At 42.2% G+C, this 18,740-nt stretch overlaps 1 protein-coding gene across 1 annotated transcript, besides 2 other annotated features; it reads left to right on the plus strand.

Annotated features, from left to right (window-relative positions):
• The first annotated feature begins 73 nt into the window (after positions 1-73).
• Positions 74-18,314, plus strand: DENR (density regulated re-initiation and release factor). The gene is made up of 8 exons (NM_003677.5): positions 74-200; positions 943-1,057; positions 9,437-9,456; positions 10,095-10,179; positions 12,554-12,637; positions 14,738-14,854; positions 16,032-16,171; positions 16,284-18,314. The coding sequence occupies exons 2-8, from the start codon at positions 952-954 to the stop codon at positions 16,326-16,328; spliced, it is 597 nt and encodes a 198-aa protein (NP_003668.2). The 5' UTR covers positions 74-200; positions 943-951; the 3' UTR covers positions 16,329-18,314.
• Positions 333-382: a silencer, noted in NCBI's record as "silent region_5020". NCBI's record gives its function as "represses an Ori minimal core promoter by ATAC-STARR-seq in GM12878 lymphoblastoid cells {active_cell/tissue: GM12878}" and the evidence as "EXISTENCE:reporter gene assay evidence [ECO:0000049][PMID:35858748]".
• Positions 523-582: an enhancer, noted in NCBI's record as "active region_7236". NCBI's record gives its function as "activates an Ori minimal core promoter by ATAC-STARR-seq in GM12878 lymphoblastoid cells {active_cell/tissue: GM12878}" and the evidence as "EXISTENCE:reporter gene assay evidence [ECO:0000049][PMID:35858748]".
• Positions 18,315-18,740: the final 426 nt, after the last annotated feature.

Raw genomic sequence — 18,740 nt, forward strand, 5'->3', positions numbered from 1 at the left:
TCTCCGCCCCCGTCTTCCGGCTTCTCGCGACATCCGCCCAGCGGCGGCCGGAATCTCGCGATAAAGGCTCATTGTCTCGCGGGAGCGCTGCTGGCGGTCGGGCGCTCGGGCGGCCCTGGCCGGGGAGACGAGTTGCATGTGTTGGTTCAGCTGGCGATAGCGGCGGGAGCGGAGCCGGCGGGGCCTGTGCGACCGCCTGGGTAACGACCCCAAGTGCTTCTCCCGCTCCCGAGAAGCTCGTAGAGAGTGTGGGGGAAGCTGAGATGCTGCCTGGCGGAAGGGGGCCGGGCCGGGCCTCTCCACACCCCCGCCCACAAGGGCCCCTTCTGGCGTCCCCGGGGTTGCTCCTTCGCCTCAGACCTGGTCGCCCTTGTCCCCTCAGTGCTCTTACATTCTGCGCTCGTTTTCTCTCCTCATCCTTCTTACGCTCTGGTTACCCCGCCCCCTCCCATGCCCTTTTTAGACTCCCCAGGCCCCTCTCATGGCGTTTAGTTGCCCCCACACCCTGCACCCCGGGCTTCTCCGATGACCCACCCCTTGTTCCTAGGCACTTCCAGCCTCTCTCCATTCGGCGCCTTTGTAGCCCTTCTCTCACTGCAGTTTGCATCCCTCCCAGATCACCCTCAGACCTTTTTGCTCCGTGTCTGCCGTGGGTACTCACCCCATCTTTCCTTCCCCATTGCTTCCTGTTTTTCTCTAGTGAGTCCCTCTGCCCCATCCTTCATGGTCCATTTGCTGCTTGCTTCCCTGTAGACCTGTGGAGCAAGGAGATGTTGTGCCTGGGATTGCTCATATTTTATGAATCGAATGCAGCTTGTATCCCCCACTCAACAACAGACTTGAAACAGCTTTGGGGTGGGGAGGTTTCTGTTGAGAGGAACACTGCTCTTCTGGGGTCTTGATTCTAAAATAGTGAGGGTGTGTTATTTTCCTTGCTTACAGGTTTGTGAAATGGCTGCTGACATTTCTGAATCCAGCGGGGCTGACTGCAAAGGAGACCCAAGGAACAGTGCCAAGTTAGATGCCGATTACCCACTTCGAGTCCTTTATTGTGGAGGCAAGTGTTGGTAGCCACAGAATGACTTTTACTCACTATACTTTTATGCATTGTAATAACAGTTTGACATTTGGTAAGCTTTCTTCCCCATCCTTTTCATTTGGTGAGTTTGTACTGGGGGAGAGGAGTCCTGGGGAGGAGGAGGCATGAATTAACAGAGTTTCCCCACCTGGGTGATTTGTGTCTGGCTACTCTGCCTGAAGAAGCTTACAGTCCATTTGTAACAGGATGTGCAACTAGGTTATTTCAGCCTGAAGGTCCTCAAGGTGTATGCTAGTCTAGCTGTCAAAGGAGGGCTTCTTGGAAGATTATGAGTTAAGGATGGCAAGGACTGGATGAGAAGGTGGGGAACGGCGTCCCAGACAAAGCGCACGACTATGTAAGAAAAAGCTTGATGGCTGTCTGTGAAGAAGTGAGCAGCTTTGAGTTTGTCTGGTGTATCGTATAGGGAGGGTGGCCCGTTAAGGAGTGGGAGAAGGTGAGGTTGGAGTGTTGGGTGGTAGGACAGTGAGGAAAGTCTTCTTGGTTTGAATCATGATATATGTATTAGGTTTAATCAAGATCTTTTTCACTTTCGAGTGTTTTTCTTCATTTTCAATATAGAAATATTTGTGAATTGTAAATGCTGTATGTATTCGCATCTTGGAAACTTTCAGAAAAATCTGAAGATACAGGACAGTAAAAGGGCAAGTAAATATTTTTTCAGTAAATATTTCTCAGAACTTACTGTGTGCCTAGTGATGTTTTAGGTGCTGGGGCCTGAGTAGTGAATAAGTCAGAAGATCCTTGTTCACGTGGACCTTACATTCTGTGACTGCAGTAGAGACCACATCTGACATTTAAGTACCGTAGAAGGAGAAATGATATCTTTTTGCCATTAAAAGTAATGGCAAAAACTGCAGTTACTTTTGCACCAACCTAATCATTTTTTGAGCAGGAAAATAAAGTGACAAGAGATTAATATGCTGCATTATTTGGAGGAAATAGAACCCACAAATTTGAAGGCCACTTTCAGAAATCTAGGTTTGAGGTAAATAAGTGCCTTGCTGAGAGTGTAAGCAGTATAAAAGTGAATAAAGAGGGTTAATCAAAGAAAAGATACAATGTTTAATGGTGAAAAAGGAAAAAGATATTTCACAATTGAGAGAGTTGAAAAACCAGAACACCACTAAAAATGATGACTTTGAGAAAGATTAGATTTGGAGATAGATAATAGGCTGACTTGCAATACAGTGAATTTGAGTTTCTCCAAATGGAAGAATCCAAGTATGCTGCATTTGGCAGCAGAGAGAGACAGTATATGAGCTTTTCTAAGGGAGAAAGAGAGAAAAGCCAGAAAGATTCTTGGGGTGTACCTGGAACGAGGTGAACTGGGTAGATTTCACCACATAGAGAATTGCTTAGTTGGTGAGAAGTTTGGAAGCTTAGTGAAAATGTCAGTCTCTAGAAATCTTGTTTTATTTTTCTGTAATTATGAATTAAAACTAAGGGGCCGGGCGCAGTGGCTCACACTTGTAATCCCAGCACTTTGGGAGGCTGAGGCAGGCAGATCATGAGGTCAGGAGTTCAAGACCAGCCTGGCCAACATAGTGAAACCCCGTCTCTACTAAAAATACAAAAACTTAGCCAGGCCTGGTGGCAGGCACCTGTAATCCCAGCTACTTGGGAGGCTGAGGCAGGAGAATCACTTGAACCCGGGAGGCAGAGGTTGCAGTGAGCCGAGATCACGCCATTGCACTCCCACCCGGGCAACAGTGCGAGACCCCATCTCAAAAATAAAAAACAAAACTAAGGATGTGAGAAAAACTGATACATTTATTTTAACAAGATGCTCAGAATATAGATTCCTATTATATTTTTATATAATGATTACCTGTGAAACAACTCTTTAAATTTGGAAACCTATGTGAGTAAAGGATAAGATCTATTCCCTGTGACCTCAGAGGGTCAGTGAACTAGGACTAAAGTGGAAACTACTGAAAGGTGCCTTTCTACCTTGTCAACACTCTCCAGAACAGTACAGGCTTCCACTTAATGTAAAAACATTCTTATGCTTAATTGAAGAAACTAGTAGTGGAGATGGGATTAGACTGTACCTTTTAATTTCTAACATTACCATTTTGTAAAAGTAGTGGATTTTGTTAGCCAGCTTGGTAAGAAGGTATGATGACATTGTTAATAGAGTCCACATCATAATCAACAATTTACAAAGACTATAAACAATTTTTACCTAGTATCTCTGATGTATAAGGTCCTCGGCTAAGTTCTGTGGAGGCATATAAATTGGCAGAGGCCCTGTCTGTCTACATATAACTTAACAGGGAAGATGATGAATGCTGAAAGAAAGAGACAAGAAATAGGCCAGGCGCGGTGGCTCACACCTGTAATCCAAGCACTTTGGGAGGCCAAGGTGGGTGGATCAGCTGAGGTCAGGAGTTCAAGACCAGCCTGGCCAACATGGTGAAACCCTGTCTCTACTAAAAATACAAAAATTAGCTGGGCATAGTGGCAGGCGCCTGTAATCCCAGCTACTCGGGAGGCTGAGGCAGGAGAATCGCTTAAACCTGGGAGGCGGAGATTGCAGTGAGCCAAGATCGTGCCACTGCACTCAGCCTTTGAGAGCAAAACTCCATCCCAGAAAAAAAAGAAGAAAGAGACAAGAAATAAAGATTAAGGACTAATAGCTGCAGTGTCAGTACAGGAGGGGAGAGATTTGTAGGAAATTAGGGGAAGACTTCATAGAGGCAACCACAGCCAAATGGGGATTTGAAGGAAAGGTTGCATTCAGGCAGGCACAGAAGGGCTGAAGGTTGGACTTGCCAGGCAAAGGAGTGGAGGTAGGAAAGTATTTAATAGTGGGTAGTGTGGAGGGAGTTTCGAGTGTTACAGTTTGGTTGTATTGTGGAATTCATGAAGAGGGGCAGCCGGAAATTATGGCAACGTGGTTTGGGGCCAAGTTCTGGGGCACCTGATTTGTAGATAATTGTAAGTCATTGAAAGTTTTGGAGCAGTGAAGTTACATGAAGATGAATCTGGCAGCAAGATAACAATTGAGGGAGGCAGGCTTATTGGCCAGGCTATAATAAGACTTTAGACAAAATTAATGAGCATTTAAATGAGTGGCATAAGTGAGGAAGAGAGGTTGAAAAATAAATTATGGTAGGATGAACAGTATAAAGCAGTTAATCAGATTTGAGGACAAGGGAGATGGGAGAAATAAACTGGATGTAGTTTTGACAGACATTTAGTATTGCTGGAGTGCTTAGAGAAGAGGGAAAACCCTCCAATAGAATACCCAACTGATTAAAGAGAAAAATAGAAGCGATAGTGACATAGGCATTTTTCTTATCATTCCTTCCCCCTCCCTCCCTTTCCCCTTTTGCAAAAAGAAGGATGCAAATTAGAGAATTTGCTCTCAGCTAAAGTCTGGGGTTTCAGAGAGCAGCTCAAATTCATTTAGGAAACACGTTTTAAGCATCTGCTCTGTGGCAAGCATTGTGCTCCATATACAGAAATAAGACATAATTATCTCCTGGAAACTGAGCTTAACTGGGAAGACAAACATTTTAACAGGTGAGTTATAATGTACTAATTGTATACTAGAGGGGTGAGCAGACTGCAGTGAGAATAAAGAACCAACCAGTTCTACTTGGGAGAACTGAAAAAAGGGAAAGTTAAAGTATTGAGTGGATTTTATGTTTGTATATTTAATCTTCAAAATTGAAATATTACAGTTTTATTGATGATAAGCTTCTCAATTGTATAAGTGGTGGGGCCAGGATTAAAATCCAAGACAAGCCATTATAACATCAGCTTCAAGGAAACTTAGCAGAGTCTTGAAGGATGAATAGGTGTTTGCTGAAAAGAATGGCATGGATAGAAGTTCATTGTGGTTGGACCATGGGCTGGTAGGAGTTGAGTCTGGAGAAGTACGATAAGATGTTTGAAAAGTTCTTAATCTGGGAAGTGATGTGATTGGTTATATCTTTTTGGATAATAACTGTTTGGAAGGAAGGAGGAAGTGCCTGAAATGGGTTGAAACTGGCCACAGAAATCAAGTTTAGGAGACTTTATTTTTATTTTAATCTTTTCCACCCTCCTCCCCAAATTTAGAAGACTTTAAAGTATGAGATGATTGAGGCTTAGTGACACTGTGTGCAAAGTTAGTGATTTTGGTGACTGTTGACAGCGAAATTTGTAATTGAAAATATTGACTTTCAGGAAGCTGATTGTGGCTGTTCATTCTCTGTTATAGAAAGGCAGTTTTTGTTTGTTTGTTTTTCAGAAGGAGTCTCACTCTGTTGCCCAGACTGGAGTGTAATGGCGTGATCTCGGCTCACTGCAACCTCCGCCTCCAGGGTTCAAGTGATTCTCCTGGTTCAGCCTCCCGAGTAGCGGAGATTACAGGCGCCTGCCACCGTGCCTGGCTGATTTTTGTATTTTTAGTAGAGATGAGGTTTCACCATCTTGGCCAGGCTGGTCTTGAACTCCTGACCTTGTGATCCACCCGCCTCGGCCTCCCAAAGTGTTGGGATTACAGGCGTGAGCCACCAGACCCGGCCATTCTGATGTGTTCTTAAGACTAGATTTAGTTTATGATCTTGTGCCAAGACCACCACAGAAGTGCTGTTAATTTCAGTGCATTTTATCAAGAGGTACCTGGCTGTGGATTAGTCCCATTCCATGTTTCCATGTGGTGGTAACTTTGCTCATTTGGCCAGGCACAGTGGCTCACACCTTTAATTCCAACACTTTGGGAGGCCGAGGCAGGCAGATCATCTGAGCTCAGGAGTTTGAGACCAGCCTGGGCAACATAGTGAGACCCTGCCTCTACAAAAAATTAAATAAATTAGCCAGGTGTGGTGGCAAGTGCCTGTAGTTCCAGCTACTCGGAGGCTGTAGTGGAAGGAACACTTAAGCCCAGGAGTTCAAGGCTGCATGAGTTAAGATCACATCACTGCACTATAGCCTGGGTGACAAAGTGAGACTGTCTCTTTAACAAAAAAAAAGAAGCTGGAGTCTAGAGGCTTAATTTTTTATTTATTTATTTTTTTTTTGAGTTGGAGTCTTGCCCTGTTGCCCAGGCTGGAGTGCAGTGGCAGTCTCAGCTCACTGCAGCCTCTGCGTCCCAGGATCAAGCGATTCTCCTGCCTCAGCCTTCTGAGTAGCTGGGACTACAGGTGTGCGCCACCACACCCGGCTAATTTTTGTATTTTTAGTAGAGATGGGGTTTCACCATGTTGGCCAGGCTGGTCTTGAACTCCTGACCTCAGGTGATCCACCACCTCGGCCTCCCAAAGTGCTGGGATTGTAGACGTGAGCCACCACACCCGGCCTAGAGGCTTAATTAGATTCAAGTTAAACAGATTTTGGCAAGAAAGTTTCGTGGATGATGTTTCATTCATCATGTTGCATTGCATCAAGAGCTCATAATGTCAGATGTTTCACTATTAGTGATGCTAAGTTTGAAGGTGACGGCTAAATGTTTGCATTGAAAAGGTACAGTTTTCCCTTTCCAAATAAGTAAGTGATCTGTAAAGAGAAATTGACTTTTTTAAAGCAAATAATGGTGAACTTAAAGGAGCTCCCCCAATTTTTTTATTGCATTAGAATTTTGCTGAACCGGGCCAGGCACAGTGGCTCACACCTGTAATCACAGCACTTTGGGAGGCTGAGGCCAAGGCAGGCAGATCACTTGAGGCCAGGAGTTCAAGACCAGCCTGGCCAACATGGCAAAACCCTGTCTCTACTAAAAATACAAAAATTAGCTGGGTGTGGTGGTGCACACCTGTAATCCCAGCTACTCGGGAGGCTGAGCTACGAGAATCACTTGGACCCAGGAGGTAGAGGTTGCAGCCAGCTGAGATGGTGCCATTGCACTCCAGCCTGGGCAACAGAGCAAAACCCCAATTTTTTTTTTTTTCTGAACTAAATATTATTTGAAATAGTATACAAAATTTGTAGCTTTAGTATTTGCTGTGATGGTGTTTAACCAATAATTGTATAGTTATATCCTGAAAGTGTGGCTGAACAACTATGCCTAGTATTTGAACTTGAATTGTGAGGAATATAGGGCTGTAGCTAACCAGAGAGATCTTTGGTGGAAATAACCCTAAACTATAATAGACTAGACTGGACAAAACCAATGGATTCCAGTTTTCTTCTGCCACATACCACCTTTGTCATTGTATGAGCTGTTTAACTCTTTTAGTGCCCCATCTGTAAAATAGTGATTGTGTGGTAGCATGTTAGAATGTTAGTAGGGTGAGGTGAAGGCAGATCATTTTCAGCTGTCAGGTGCCACTAAGTTGCTTGTTTACTTTGTGTAACCTAAGTTAGTGGTTAATAGCATGAGCGTCAGAAACAGGCAGATTCAAATCCTGTTATCCAGATGCAAGTGGTTATGTACTCTAAGCCTCAGTTTCATCATCTGAATATAGATATGGTACTTATCTTACAAGGTTGTGATAACTAAACATAATAATGTATATAAGGCATAGCAAAACATTTGGCACATACTAGGTGCCCAGTGTGTAGTAATTGCTGTGACTACATGGTATACCACCTTCCTCTCCCTGAGAAATCTCAGGATATTGGACACACTGAACTACTCCATTCTAAACCTTAAACATAAAAACAAAAGGCCGGGCGCGGTGGCTCACTCCTGTAATCCCAGCACTTTGGGAGGCTGAGGCGGGCGGATCACAAGGTCAGGAGATCGAGACCATCCTAGCTAATACTGTGAAACCCCGTCTTTACTAAAAATACAAAAAATTAGCCGGGCGCGGTGGCGGGCACCTGTAGTCCCAGCTACTCTGGAGACTGAGGCAGGAGAATGGCGTGAACCCGGGAGGCGGAGCTTGCAGTGAGCCGAGATAGTGCTACTGCAGTCCGGCCTGGGTGAAAGAGCAAGACTCCGTCTCAAAAATAAATAAATAAAAACAAAATAAGCAGTTGACCCAGTATTAGAATTACGGTTAAAATTGGAAGCTTTTCCAGTTCTTCTAGTCCATTATTAGCCTGTACAGGCTCTAACACCAAATGACAGGATTGAACCAAGATTCCTTCTAGCTTTACACTTTCATGATCTTATGTAGCATAACATGAAAAAGCCTTGGCAACATAGCGAGATCCCGTCTCTACAAAAATAAAAAACTTACCTGTACATAGTGGCTCACGCTTATAGTCCCAGCTACTTGGGAGGCTGAAGCGGGAGGATTACTTGAGCTGAGGAGTTCGAGGCTGCAGTGAGCCATGGACACACCACTACACTCCAGCCTGAGTGACAGAGTGAGAGTGAGACCCTTACTCTAAAAAAAATAGGCCAGGTGCGGTGGCTCATGCCTGTAATCCCAGCACTTTGGGAGGCTGAGGCGGACGGATTACCTGAGGTCAGGAGTTTGAGACCAGTCTGGCCAACATGGTGAAACCCCGTCTCTACTAAAAATACAAAAATTAGCCGGGCGTGGTGGCACACGCCTGTAATCCCAGCTACTTGGGAGGCTGAGGCAGGAGAATTTCTTGAGCCCAGGAGACAGAAGTTGCAGTGAGCCGAGATCGTGCCTCTGCACTCCAGCCTGGCAGAAAGAGCAAGACTCTGTCTCAGAAAAAAAAAAAGGAAAAATATATTGCAAAAAGATGGTAGTAAAAATGCTGCTAAAGTTTATAAATGTGTCAGTATGAATAAAAAGTGGTGGCTGTTTTGGTAGAACCATCAAAAGAAATAACCAGGCTGGGAACAGTGCTTCACGCCTGTGATCCCAGCACTTTGGGAAGCTAAGATAGGTAGATCGCTTAAGCCCAGAAGTTTGAGACTAGCCTGGGCAACATGGTGAAACCTTGTCTCTACAAAAAATTAGCTGGGCATGGTGGTGTGCATCTGTAGTCCCATTTAGTTGGGAGACTGAGGTGGGAGGATCATTTGAGCCCCTGGAGGGGTGGAGGCTGCATTGAGCCATGATTGCACCACTGCACCCCAGCCTGGGCAACAGAGTGAGACCGTGTCTCAAAAGAAAAGAAATAACCAGTTTCCTTCAAACTCTGATGTATGGGAAATTGTTCGTGTCTTAGCTTAATTTTTTGACCCACTGAAATGGTTATGGTAAGACCTCATTATATACAAAATAGCATATTTTGATGTTCCATCAGCTGATGGAGACACTCTTTAGATGAAAAAGTCAAGATAGTATCATCTCAAATAACCATGTGCCTTTTACCCCAAAAACACTGAAGAGTAGCATTTGAAAAGTGGTATAGAAAACTTATAGGGAAAATGTAAAAATGAAGCATTTTCTCAAATATAAAAGTAAGGATAAGCCCTGTGTATGTGTGTACATATAGGTTTAACATTTCAAATCTTTTTTCTTTTTACTTCCTCAGTCTGTTCATTACCAACAGAGGTAAGTTCTTTAATTTTTTTTTTTACCTTATGTATTTGAAGTTATTCTTGGTTTTAAAGCTACCTTGAGAATTTTTTTTTATTTTTCATTTTTGATTATTTGATAGTAAAGCTTTAACCTTTTATAGAGAACTTTGATTTAGAGTAATTTTTTGGTCTTATATATTCTTTCCTAAATTTAGACCTTAAATCATACATGTGCATCTTTTGCACATGGCTGTGCAGTTTGGATTTTTGCATGGGACTTATGAATAGTCAGCTAATAAAATAAGAGTAACCTTAATGCCAAAATCTATACAAATGAGCAGAGGAAAGAAAGGGCAGTATAAATTATGTGTAAGACTTTCTAAGTCCAGCTCTATGAGCAAGTCATGAAAATGAGGCACTTATGTGCTCAAAGCAAGAAATAGAGGGAGAAGAAATAAATTGGTACTGTGAAGAGGTACCTAATCCTTCTTAATATCTAATTTTTTATGGGACATATCGTGGTTGAATACAGATTTCCTGTGGATAAGAAGTCAGATGGGAGTGGTTTGTTTTATTCTTTGTATTAACAAGTATAGGGGGTGATTTTTAATTACGACATATTGTTTGACTGAAAATGTTTTGTTGTGACTCAGTTCTTTTTTTTTCTCCTAGTACTGTGAATATATGCCTGATGTTGCTAAATGTAGACAATGGTTAGAGAAGAATTTTCCAAATGAATTTGCAAAACTTACTGTAGGTATGAACATTTTTTTTCTTGCATTAAACTTCTGTACCTGAGACAAATGCATGTATGGCATTATTCTAAAGATAGGAAAGTCCTCCTTTAGTAGGATATTACAGAATTAACATTTATCTGTTAGCTGTTTAAGTTCTCTCTGAGATAGGATAGGTCTGAATATCAACTTTCTTACATAAAAAAGTAAATGGGCCGGGCGCAGTGGCTCACACCTATAATCCTAGCAGTTTGGGAGGCTGAGGCAGGCGGATCACAAGGTCAGGAGATCAAGATCATCTTGGCTAACACAGTGAAACCCCATCTCTACTAAAAATGAAAAAAAAAAAAGGCGTGGTGGCAGGCACCTGTAGTCCCAGCTACTCAGGAGGGTGAGGCAGGAGAACGGCGTGAACCTGGGAGGCAGAGCTTGCCGTGAGCCGAGATCGTGCCACTGCACTCCAGCCTGGGTGACAGAGCAAGACTCCGTCTCAAAAAAAAAAAGTAAGTAAATGATTGGCTGGGCGCAGTGGTTCACGCCTGTAGTCCCAGCACTTTGGGAGGCTGAGGCGGGTGGATCACCTGTGGTCGGGAGTTCAAGACCAGCCTGATCAACATGGAGAAACCCTGTTTCTACTAAAAATACAAAGCTGGGCGTGGTGGCGCATGCCTGTAATCCTAGCTACTCGGGAGGCTGAGGCAGAAGAATCGCTTGAATCCGGGAGGCAGAGGTTGCAGTGAGCCGAGATGGCACCATTGCACGCCAGCCTGGGCAACAAGAGCAAAACTCTGTCTCAAAAAAACAAAATTAAAAAAAGTAAATGATTTAGGGGCAAATATATATTGATTTTTATTGTAAGTGTACTATATGCTACACACTGTTGCAGATTCTGAGGATAAGCCAATAAAAGATTTCCTACTCTTGTGGCAATTACATTCTAGAAAGGGAGACAGATTAAATAAGCAAAACATAGTATGTAGACAGTAATAAGCAGGAAAGGGGGAGATAAGAATTGGTGGGAAGGAATTTGAAATTTTAGGTAGTACCCAGGGAAGATTTTGCTGAAAAGGTGGCAGTTGATTATTTTGGAACTGAGGGAATGAGTCATTTGGGTATCTGGCAGAACATTTCTAGGCAGAGGACACAGCCTGAGGAGAGGCCCTGAGTAGAAGCTTTCCTAGTATATTCAGGAAACAGCAAGGAAGCCTTTGTGTCTGGAGCTTATTGAAGGACCGGAGAAGAGTTTGATATGAAGTCAGAGTAGACCACAACGGGTAGGGCATTGTGGGCTGTTTTGGCTTTTGCTCTTAGTTAGATGATGAGCTCTTGGAGGAGTTTAAGCAGAAGAGTGATAAGGTCTGACTTGTTTCAGCAGCATCACTTAGGCTGCTCTGCTAAGAATAGACCAAAGAGGCCGGGTGCAGTGGCTCACGCTGTAATCCCAGCACTTTGGGAGGCCGAGGCAGGCGGATCACAAGGTCAGGAGATCGAGACCATCCTGGCTAACACGGTGAAACCCTGTCTTTACTAAAAATACAAAAAATTAGCCGGGCGAGGTGGCGGGCGCCTGTAGTCCCAGCTACTTTGGGAGGCTGAGGCAGGAGAATGGCGTGAATCCGGGAGGCAGAGCTTGCAGTGAGCCGAGATCGCACCGCTGCACTCCAGCCTGGATAACAGAGGGAGACTCCGTCTCAAAAAAAATGGAGTTGCCATTGCCAGAGGTGGGAAGACTATGGAGGAACAGAATTCCTCAGTTTTCTCATATTGATGGCTTCTCTTGCAAGACTGGTAAAAATGAAGGCAGTAGCAAGAAGAAGAGAAAGCCTGGTCTGGGAACAGGCCTGCTCAGAGACACCCAGTGCTGCCCCACTCATTGCTCCTTGACTTTCAAGTGATTTCCCTGACACACAAACCCCTAACTTGGTAAGTCCATTTTGGCTGGTAGCTACTCCATCACTGTCAGTGGTTGAATAAGAACCCTCAAGTCTGGTTTTATATTCAGTCTACATGGTTGTCCCTGAACGGGACCTTCCTGGGATAGGATCATGTCTGAGCGGGTGGGGAGCTCTTCTCTAGATGTTAACAAAATTAGTAAGTTTAGATGCTAGAGCACTCCTGCAGAGCCCAAGTGTTCTATGCTCCTTTCCTGTGGCTAAAAATTTCAGCCCTCACATATCAAAAGACTGGGTTTTCTCTTCTGTTACCATACACTTACTATAATGACTTTAGAACTAGACTTGAATAGAAATCTAGCAGTGTAATCCATTGCTTTACAAATTTCATGCTCAGCTGTTGGTAAGATGCCTTATTTGTATATGAGGTTGCTCAAAGGTGATTTCTTTTTTTTTAACAGTGTGAGATGATGTTCATGCTTTTGTATTTCACTTTTATATCTAGAAAATTCACCCAAACAAGAAGCTGGAATTAGTGAGGGTCAAGGAACAGCAGGGGAAGAAGAGGAGAAGAAAAAACAGAAGAGAGGTAAGACCTAAATTCACATCTTGATTTGTACAGTCATACCGTCACTGCGATAGAAAATGTAAGTAATTAAAATGGTTCCCAAAGCTAGGCACAATGGTGGGCGCCTATAGTCACAGCTTCTTAGGGGGCTGAGGCAGGAGGATCACTTAAGCCCAGGAGTTCAAGGCTGTAGTATGCAATGATCGTTCCTCCACATAGCCACTGCACTCTATCCTGGGCAACATAGTGAGACCTCATCCCTTACAAAAAGGGGGAGGTTCCCAACATTAATACCATGTACCTGTTATTGTAATTCCCCATGTATATCATACAAAGGGGCACATACTAATAGGATCATGGTTGGATGTGGTATGATTTGGGCTGTGTCAGTAAATTGGACCTAGGAAAACATGCTTATTTGCCCTGTTTGTATGTAAAAAACAGCTAAAATTCCTGTGTCTTCTATTTAAGTAGAGTGAGGACATTTATATAAAAAATTTTATCTTCTCATTACTTCTGATAGCTCAGTTGAAAACTTTGTTTTACGGCTGTTGCATACACTTGACTCCTTCTCAAACCAACTCCTGGTGCTGTGGATCCTGTACCCACCTGTTTCATTTTCATTCATTATTCTCCCCTATGACTAAAATTCACTTATAAATATTTTTAGGACTTTGCATCTTCAAAAAAAAAAAAAACTCTCCCCAAAGCTCATGTCTTTCTTTACCTTATCCCTCTCCTTCCCTTAGCCAGATTTCTTTACTAAGGCCAGACTCACTATCCCCGCTTCTGTTCTGTGGTACACTGTTCACTCCTCAGTCCATCCTAACCTGACTTCCTGGCCACTGCAGCTCTTCCGATAAGGGTCAGCAGTGGCTTAGTTATTGCTAAATAATAAGCGCACATGCACTCCCTCTTTCCTGAAACATTGTCCCTCCTTGGTTTCTGTTCCTTCCTAGGTCTCCTATCACTCCTCCTTAGTCTTCTGTGCGGACTTCTGTTCCTTCTGCCCTTTAAAAGTTGGTATTTTCCAGGATTCTGTCCTAGGCCCACTTACTTCTCATTCTGCACGTTCTTGTTGGATGATTCTATCACATCCCTAACTTCTGCTGCCCAGTATGCACTTAAAATTCCCAAATCTGTATATCTGGATCTGGCCTGTGTCTCTAGCCTAGAAGTGTGCTTTATCCCAGAAGCACCTCAAACACTGCACTTTGGAAATTAAGCTTACTGAGTCTCGAGTCTCAAGTCCCAAACTGACTTCTTTTTCTCTATTTTGGTTAGTGACAACACTATTTATTCAGTCATGCAAACCAGAGCCCTGAGAACCATCTTACATTCTCTTTCTCCCTTTACTCAGTTCTTGCTTCTGTTCTTTCTCCTCCCTCCTCTCCTGCCTGTGGCCTAGTGGCCATTACTGTTGGCACTGCTTTACTTTCAATTTTTTGCCTGAACTAACGCAAGAGCCTCTGTAGGGGCCTTTCTATCAGTCTTACTCTTCACAGATCCACCGAAACACAGATCCAGTGACTGCTATGTATGTAATCTTTTGCTTTTCTGGCTCCATCTGCTACATATTCATAAGCATCCTTCAATCAAGACAAGTGAAGTTCCCAAATATAACGCCTTTTCTTATCTCTGTACTTGTTCCCTTTCCCTGGAATGTCCTTTCTTATGCCTCTCCAGCCTTTTTCCCTTTACCTGGACCTTTCCTTATTCTTCACAACTCCACCTAGATATTACTTCCTCTAGGAAACTTTCTGTGTCCTCTGGAAGCAGACTAAGTTGTTTCTCTGCAAAGCTATCATAAAGCCTTATTCATGATTCCTATTATTGTATGTATCAGGTTGCTGTAACTTCTTTTTTTACTCCCTTCACTAGACTGAGTCTCTGGAGGGCAGGGGCTATGTTCTGTTCACTTTTGTATCCTCGGCTCTTAGCCCAGTGCTAGGCACATAGTAGGTACTTAATAAATGTTTATTGAATGAATACTTGGATGTGTTTAGTAATTTTTGTATTAGAGAAAAAGAAACTTAAACCTTTTGAGAATTAATAAATTTAAAGACAGTATTCTCTTATGTCAAAAACAACTAAAGCTAAGCTCTTTCTTAATAAATAAAGGTGGAAGGGGTCAAATAAAACAAAAAAAGAAGACCGTACCACAAAAGGTTACTATAGCCAAAATTCCCAGAGCAAAGAAGAAATATGTGACAAGAGTATGTGGCCTTGCAACTTTTGGTGAGTTCAGGCTTAAGTATATTTAAAATGTGTGAACTATTTTCTCTCTCTGTCTCCCTCTATCTCTCTGTCTCTCTCTCTCTCACATACCATGAAAACTTCACAGGTCTGTTTTTTGCTAAGAAGATAAATTTTGCATTTCTAACTATAGCTTCAAAATCAAATTTTAGAGAAATGTCAAAATCTTTTGTAGAGGGGACTTTTTACTTTCTGGAATTCCTGCTTGGGCACATTTTATGTGGGATGAGGACGGCTGGGTAGGATTCTCTTTGAAACCAGCCAATGCTGCTCCTCTGTCCTCTGCAGGCATGGTGGCAAAAGGTTGCAAAATGGCTCATCCCCTCTGGGAATGACAGGAGAGGTTGAGGAAGGTGGCAGAACATCCTTCTTTAGAGCCCCTTAGTTCCTGGAAGCCTTGAATGAGTAGTGAAACTGGGTGAAAATGTAAACTATGATGCCTCTATGAGACAACACAGATTGAAAAACAATCAATAGGCTGGTCTGAGTACAGTGGTGTTTACAGCTAAATGATCACAACCACTTACATATTTCTTTGTTCCTTCTTTACTCCCACTGCTTCACTTGACTAGCCTTAAAAAAGAAAAAAGAGGCCAGGCGTGATGGCTCACACCTGTTATAATCCCAGCACTTTGGGAGGCTGACATGGGCGGATCACCTGAGGTAGGAGTTTGAGACCAGCCTGGCCAACATGGTGAAACCCCATCTCTACTAAAAATACAAAAATGAGCCAGACACGGTGGCACATGCCTGTAATCCCAGCTGTTCAGGAGGCTGAGTCAGGAGAATCGCTTGAATCTGGGAGACGGAGGTTGCAGTGAGCCAAGATCGAGCCACTGCACTCCAGTCTGGGCAACAGAGCAAGACTCCGTCTCAAAAAAAAAAATGAATAAAGTGTCCCTGGATTTATTTTGGTCTTAATATGAGTAAGGGGTAGTATAGATGATTCTGTTTTTATGTATTGAGCCTTTATTTGACCTTGAAAGTGTAAATTGCATTGTTAAGATCTCTGTGGTAGTTTGTATTGTTCTGAAAGGAATATAAAACCCATTAACAATCTGTTTTATGATTTTAAAATGCAGATTAAATTTCAAAATGGAAAAACATCTTTGCACAATTCCAATTACAGTTCTTGCTCTTTCTTTTTTTAAAAAAATAGAAATTGATCTTAAAGAAGCACAAAGATTTTTTGCTCAAAAATTCTCCTGTGGTGCCTCAGTAACAGGGGAGGATGAAATTATCATTCAGGGAGATTTTACAGATGACATAATTGATGTCATTCAGGAAAAATGGCCAGAGGTGAGTGCATGGAACACATACATCGCTAGAGATAAGTTTTTAAAGCAAATTGCTTCCATTTTTTCTTAATTGCAACCACAACTCATGAGATATAATTATTTGTGTTTTATAGGTAGATGATGACAGCATCGAAGATCTTGGAGAAGTAAAGAAGTGAATTTGAAAATTTGTCTGTATTTAATGGCCTGAACTGAGAGTTGATATGGCCAAAGGGAGAGAGGCCTTTTAAAATATATATATATATACACATATATATGTATATATACACATATATGTATGTATACACATATACACATGTATATATACATGTGTGTATGTATACATGTATATATATATACATACACATATATGTATACATATATACACATATATGTATACATATATACACATATGTATACATATATATATATTCTACAGTAAAACTGTAGACTGTCCTCGTCCTTGGCATTTTCACTGTTCTGTACAAGGCTGCTTGTTTTTTTATTGCCAAAGTCAAATAAACGGGAGACTGTCATGCTCATGCATGAATAGAATTTAGTCAAATAAAAAATTTTGGTCATTTGGTACTGACTTTCTCTCTCTCTCTCTCTCTCTTTTTTTTTTTTGACAGAGTCTCGCACTGTTGCCTGGGCTGGAATGCAGTGGTGCGATCTCGGCTCACTGCAACCTCCGCCTCCCGGGTTCAAGTGATTCTCCTGCCTCAGCCTCCCAAGTAGGTGGGATTACAGGCGCCCGCCACCACGCCCAGCTAATTTTTGTATTTTTAGTAGAGATGGGGTTTCACTATGTTGGCCAGGCTGGTCTCGAACTCCTGACCTCGTGATTGGCCCACCTCAGCCTCCCAAAGTGCTGGTATTACAGATGTGAGCCACCGCACCCAGCCTGAGTTTCTCTTTCTCTCTTTTTAACTTTATTTTTTGAAAAACCCGGTAGACTTTTTGTGGGGAGCATTTTTGTTGATAATTTTACTGATCTAAAGCTGAGTGATTTTTTAAAAGAATTTGAATTTGGCTTCCTCACCAGTAATATGTCTCCTTGCTTCTTTGATGTGATAGTTTTGAGATGGGTGAGAATCTAATAGATCTGTGGTTGAATTTGCTGTGTTGTTATGAAGTCCACCCTGTGGGCACAATAACATAACTGTTGGTAGGAGTTGTTTGAGCTATTCTGGAGATTATTTGGTAAAGTATACTAAAAGCCTTAAAACCATGTATGTGCGCTGTTTGAACCCGTAAGCCACTTCTTTGACATTAGAAGACATTAGAAGAAATAATCAGCCTTGCATAAAACTTATGGATGAAAGTATTCATCACAATATTATTTATAATAAAAAATTGCAAATGTTATAAATGAACAATTGGGAAATGGTTAAAGAAGTGATGGTGCATTGTGTGGTAGAATATTATGCATATGTTTAAAGAATCATATTTTCTAAGATTATTTGGAAGCATGTTTGGTAATGTCAAGTGGAGTACCCCAGATACATTTTAGACATTTATCGTCATCATCTGCTCTGAGTGGAAGGCCGTTCAGAGAGGCTAGAGGTTCTTATTCTGGCTATAAATTATGTGAGTAAAATTGTGCTAACCAGTTAAAAGTACTGTACACCCATGCTCAATATATAGTCCTGGAAATAGCAATTGAAACATGTCTTCTCACAAGAGAAAATGACAGTTTTAATGATGTATTTGATGAATTTAAACTTTAAGTCAGGTGCTGCAAATTGGAAAGAAGACTTGTGGTGTTTTAAGTTGCTGTGGACACTTTTAAGAAACTTAGAACCCATGGAACCCTTGTTTATCGCCATGCAAATTACAATCTTGAATGAGTGTTTTTTAAAAATAAAGTATTAGAAAAATGTGTAGTAAAGATGTAAAATTAAAAAATGGAATTCTCCATTAACTGTGGATTTTACTAAATAGAATTACTGGTGAAGCAGATTTATCCATCGAGACTATCTGGTATGCGTTATGTATGTAGTCTGTTGCTGCTGAAAGATGTCTGTGTGCCTGTATCAACATGTGACTTCATGTAAAGTTTCTTTGTGTTCACAGTTCTTAGCAAATGCAGTTACAATCCATAGATAGCCAGCAGTGGATGTTACTCCAGGAAAATGCAGGATTAAAATTGTCCTTGTGTATAACGTGTGAATCATTTTTTTAAACTGAAATTTAAAATGCAACATAGTTTAATCTCTGATTAAAATGTACTAATAGGGCCAAGCTGCTTTGATGCATGGCTATAATCCCAGCCGAGGTGGGAGGATCACTTGAGTCCAGGTTCAAGACTAGCCTGGGCAACATGGCAAGACCCTGTCCCTATAAAAAATACAAAAATTAGCCAGGCATGGTGGCGTGCGCCTGCAGTCCCAGCTACTTGGGAGGCTGAGTTGGGAGGATCACTTGAGCCTGGGAGGTTGAGGCTGCAGTGAACTGAGATCACGACACTGCACTCCAGCCTGGGCAACAGTAAAACCTGGTCTCCAAAAAAAAAAAAAAAAAGTACTAGTAGTTCAAAAATTGACTTTACACATTCTCACAGTCTACCATTTTTAGTAAAAAACATGAAC

The sequence above is a fragment of the Homo sapiens genome, chromosome 12 (assembly GCF_000001405.40).
Source record: "Homo sapiens chromosome 12, GRCh38.p14 Primary Assembly".
Taxonomy (NCBI): domain Eukaryota; kingdom Metazoa; phylum Chordata; class Mammalia; order Primates; family Hominidae; genus Homo; species Homo sapiens.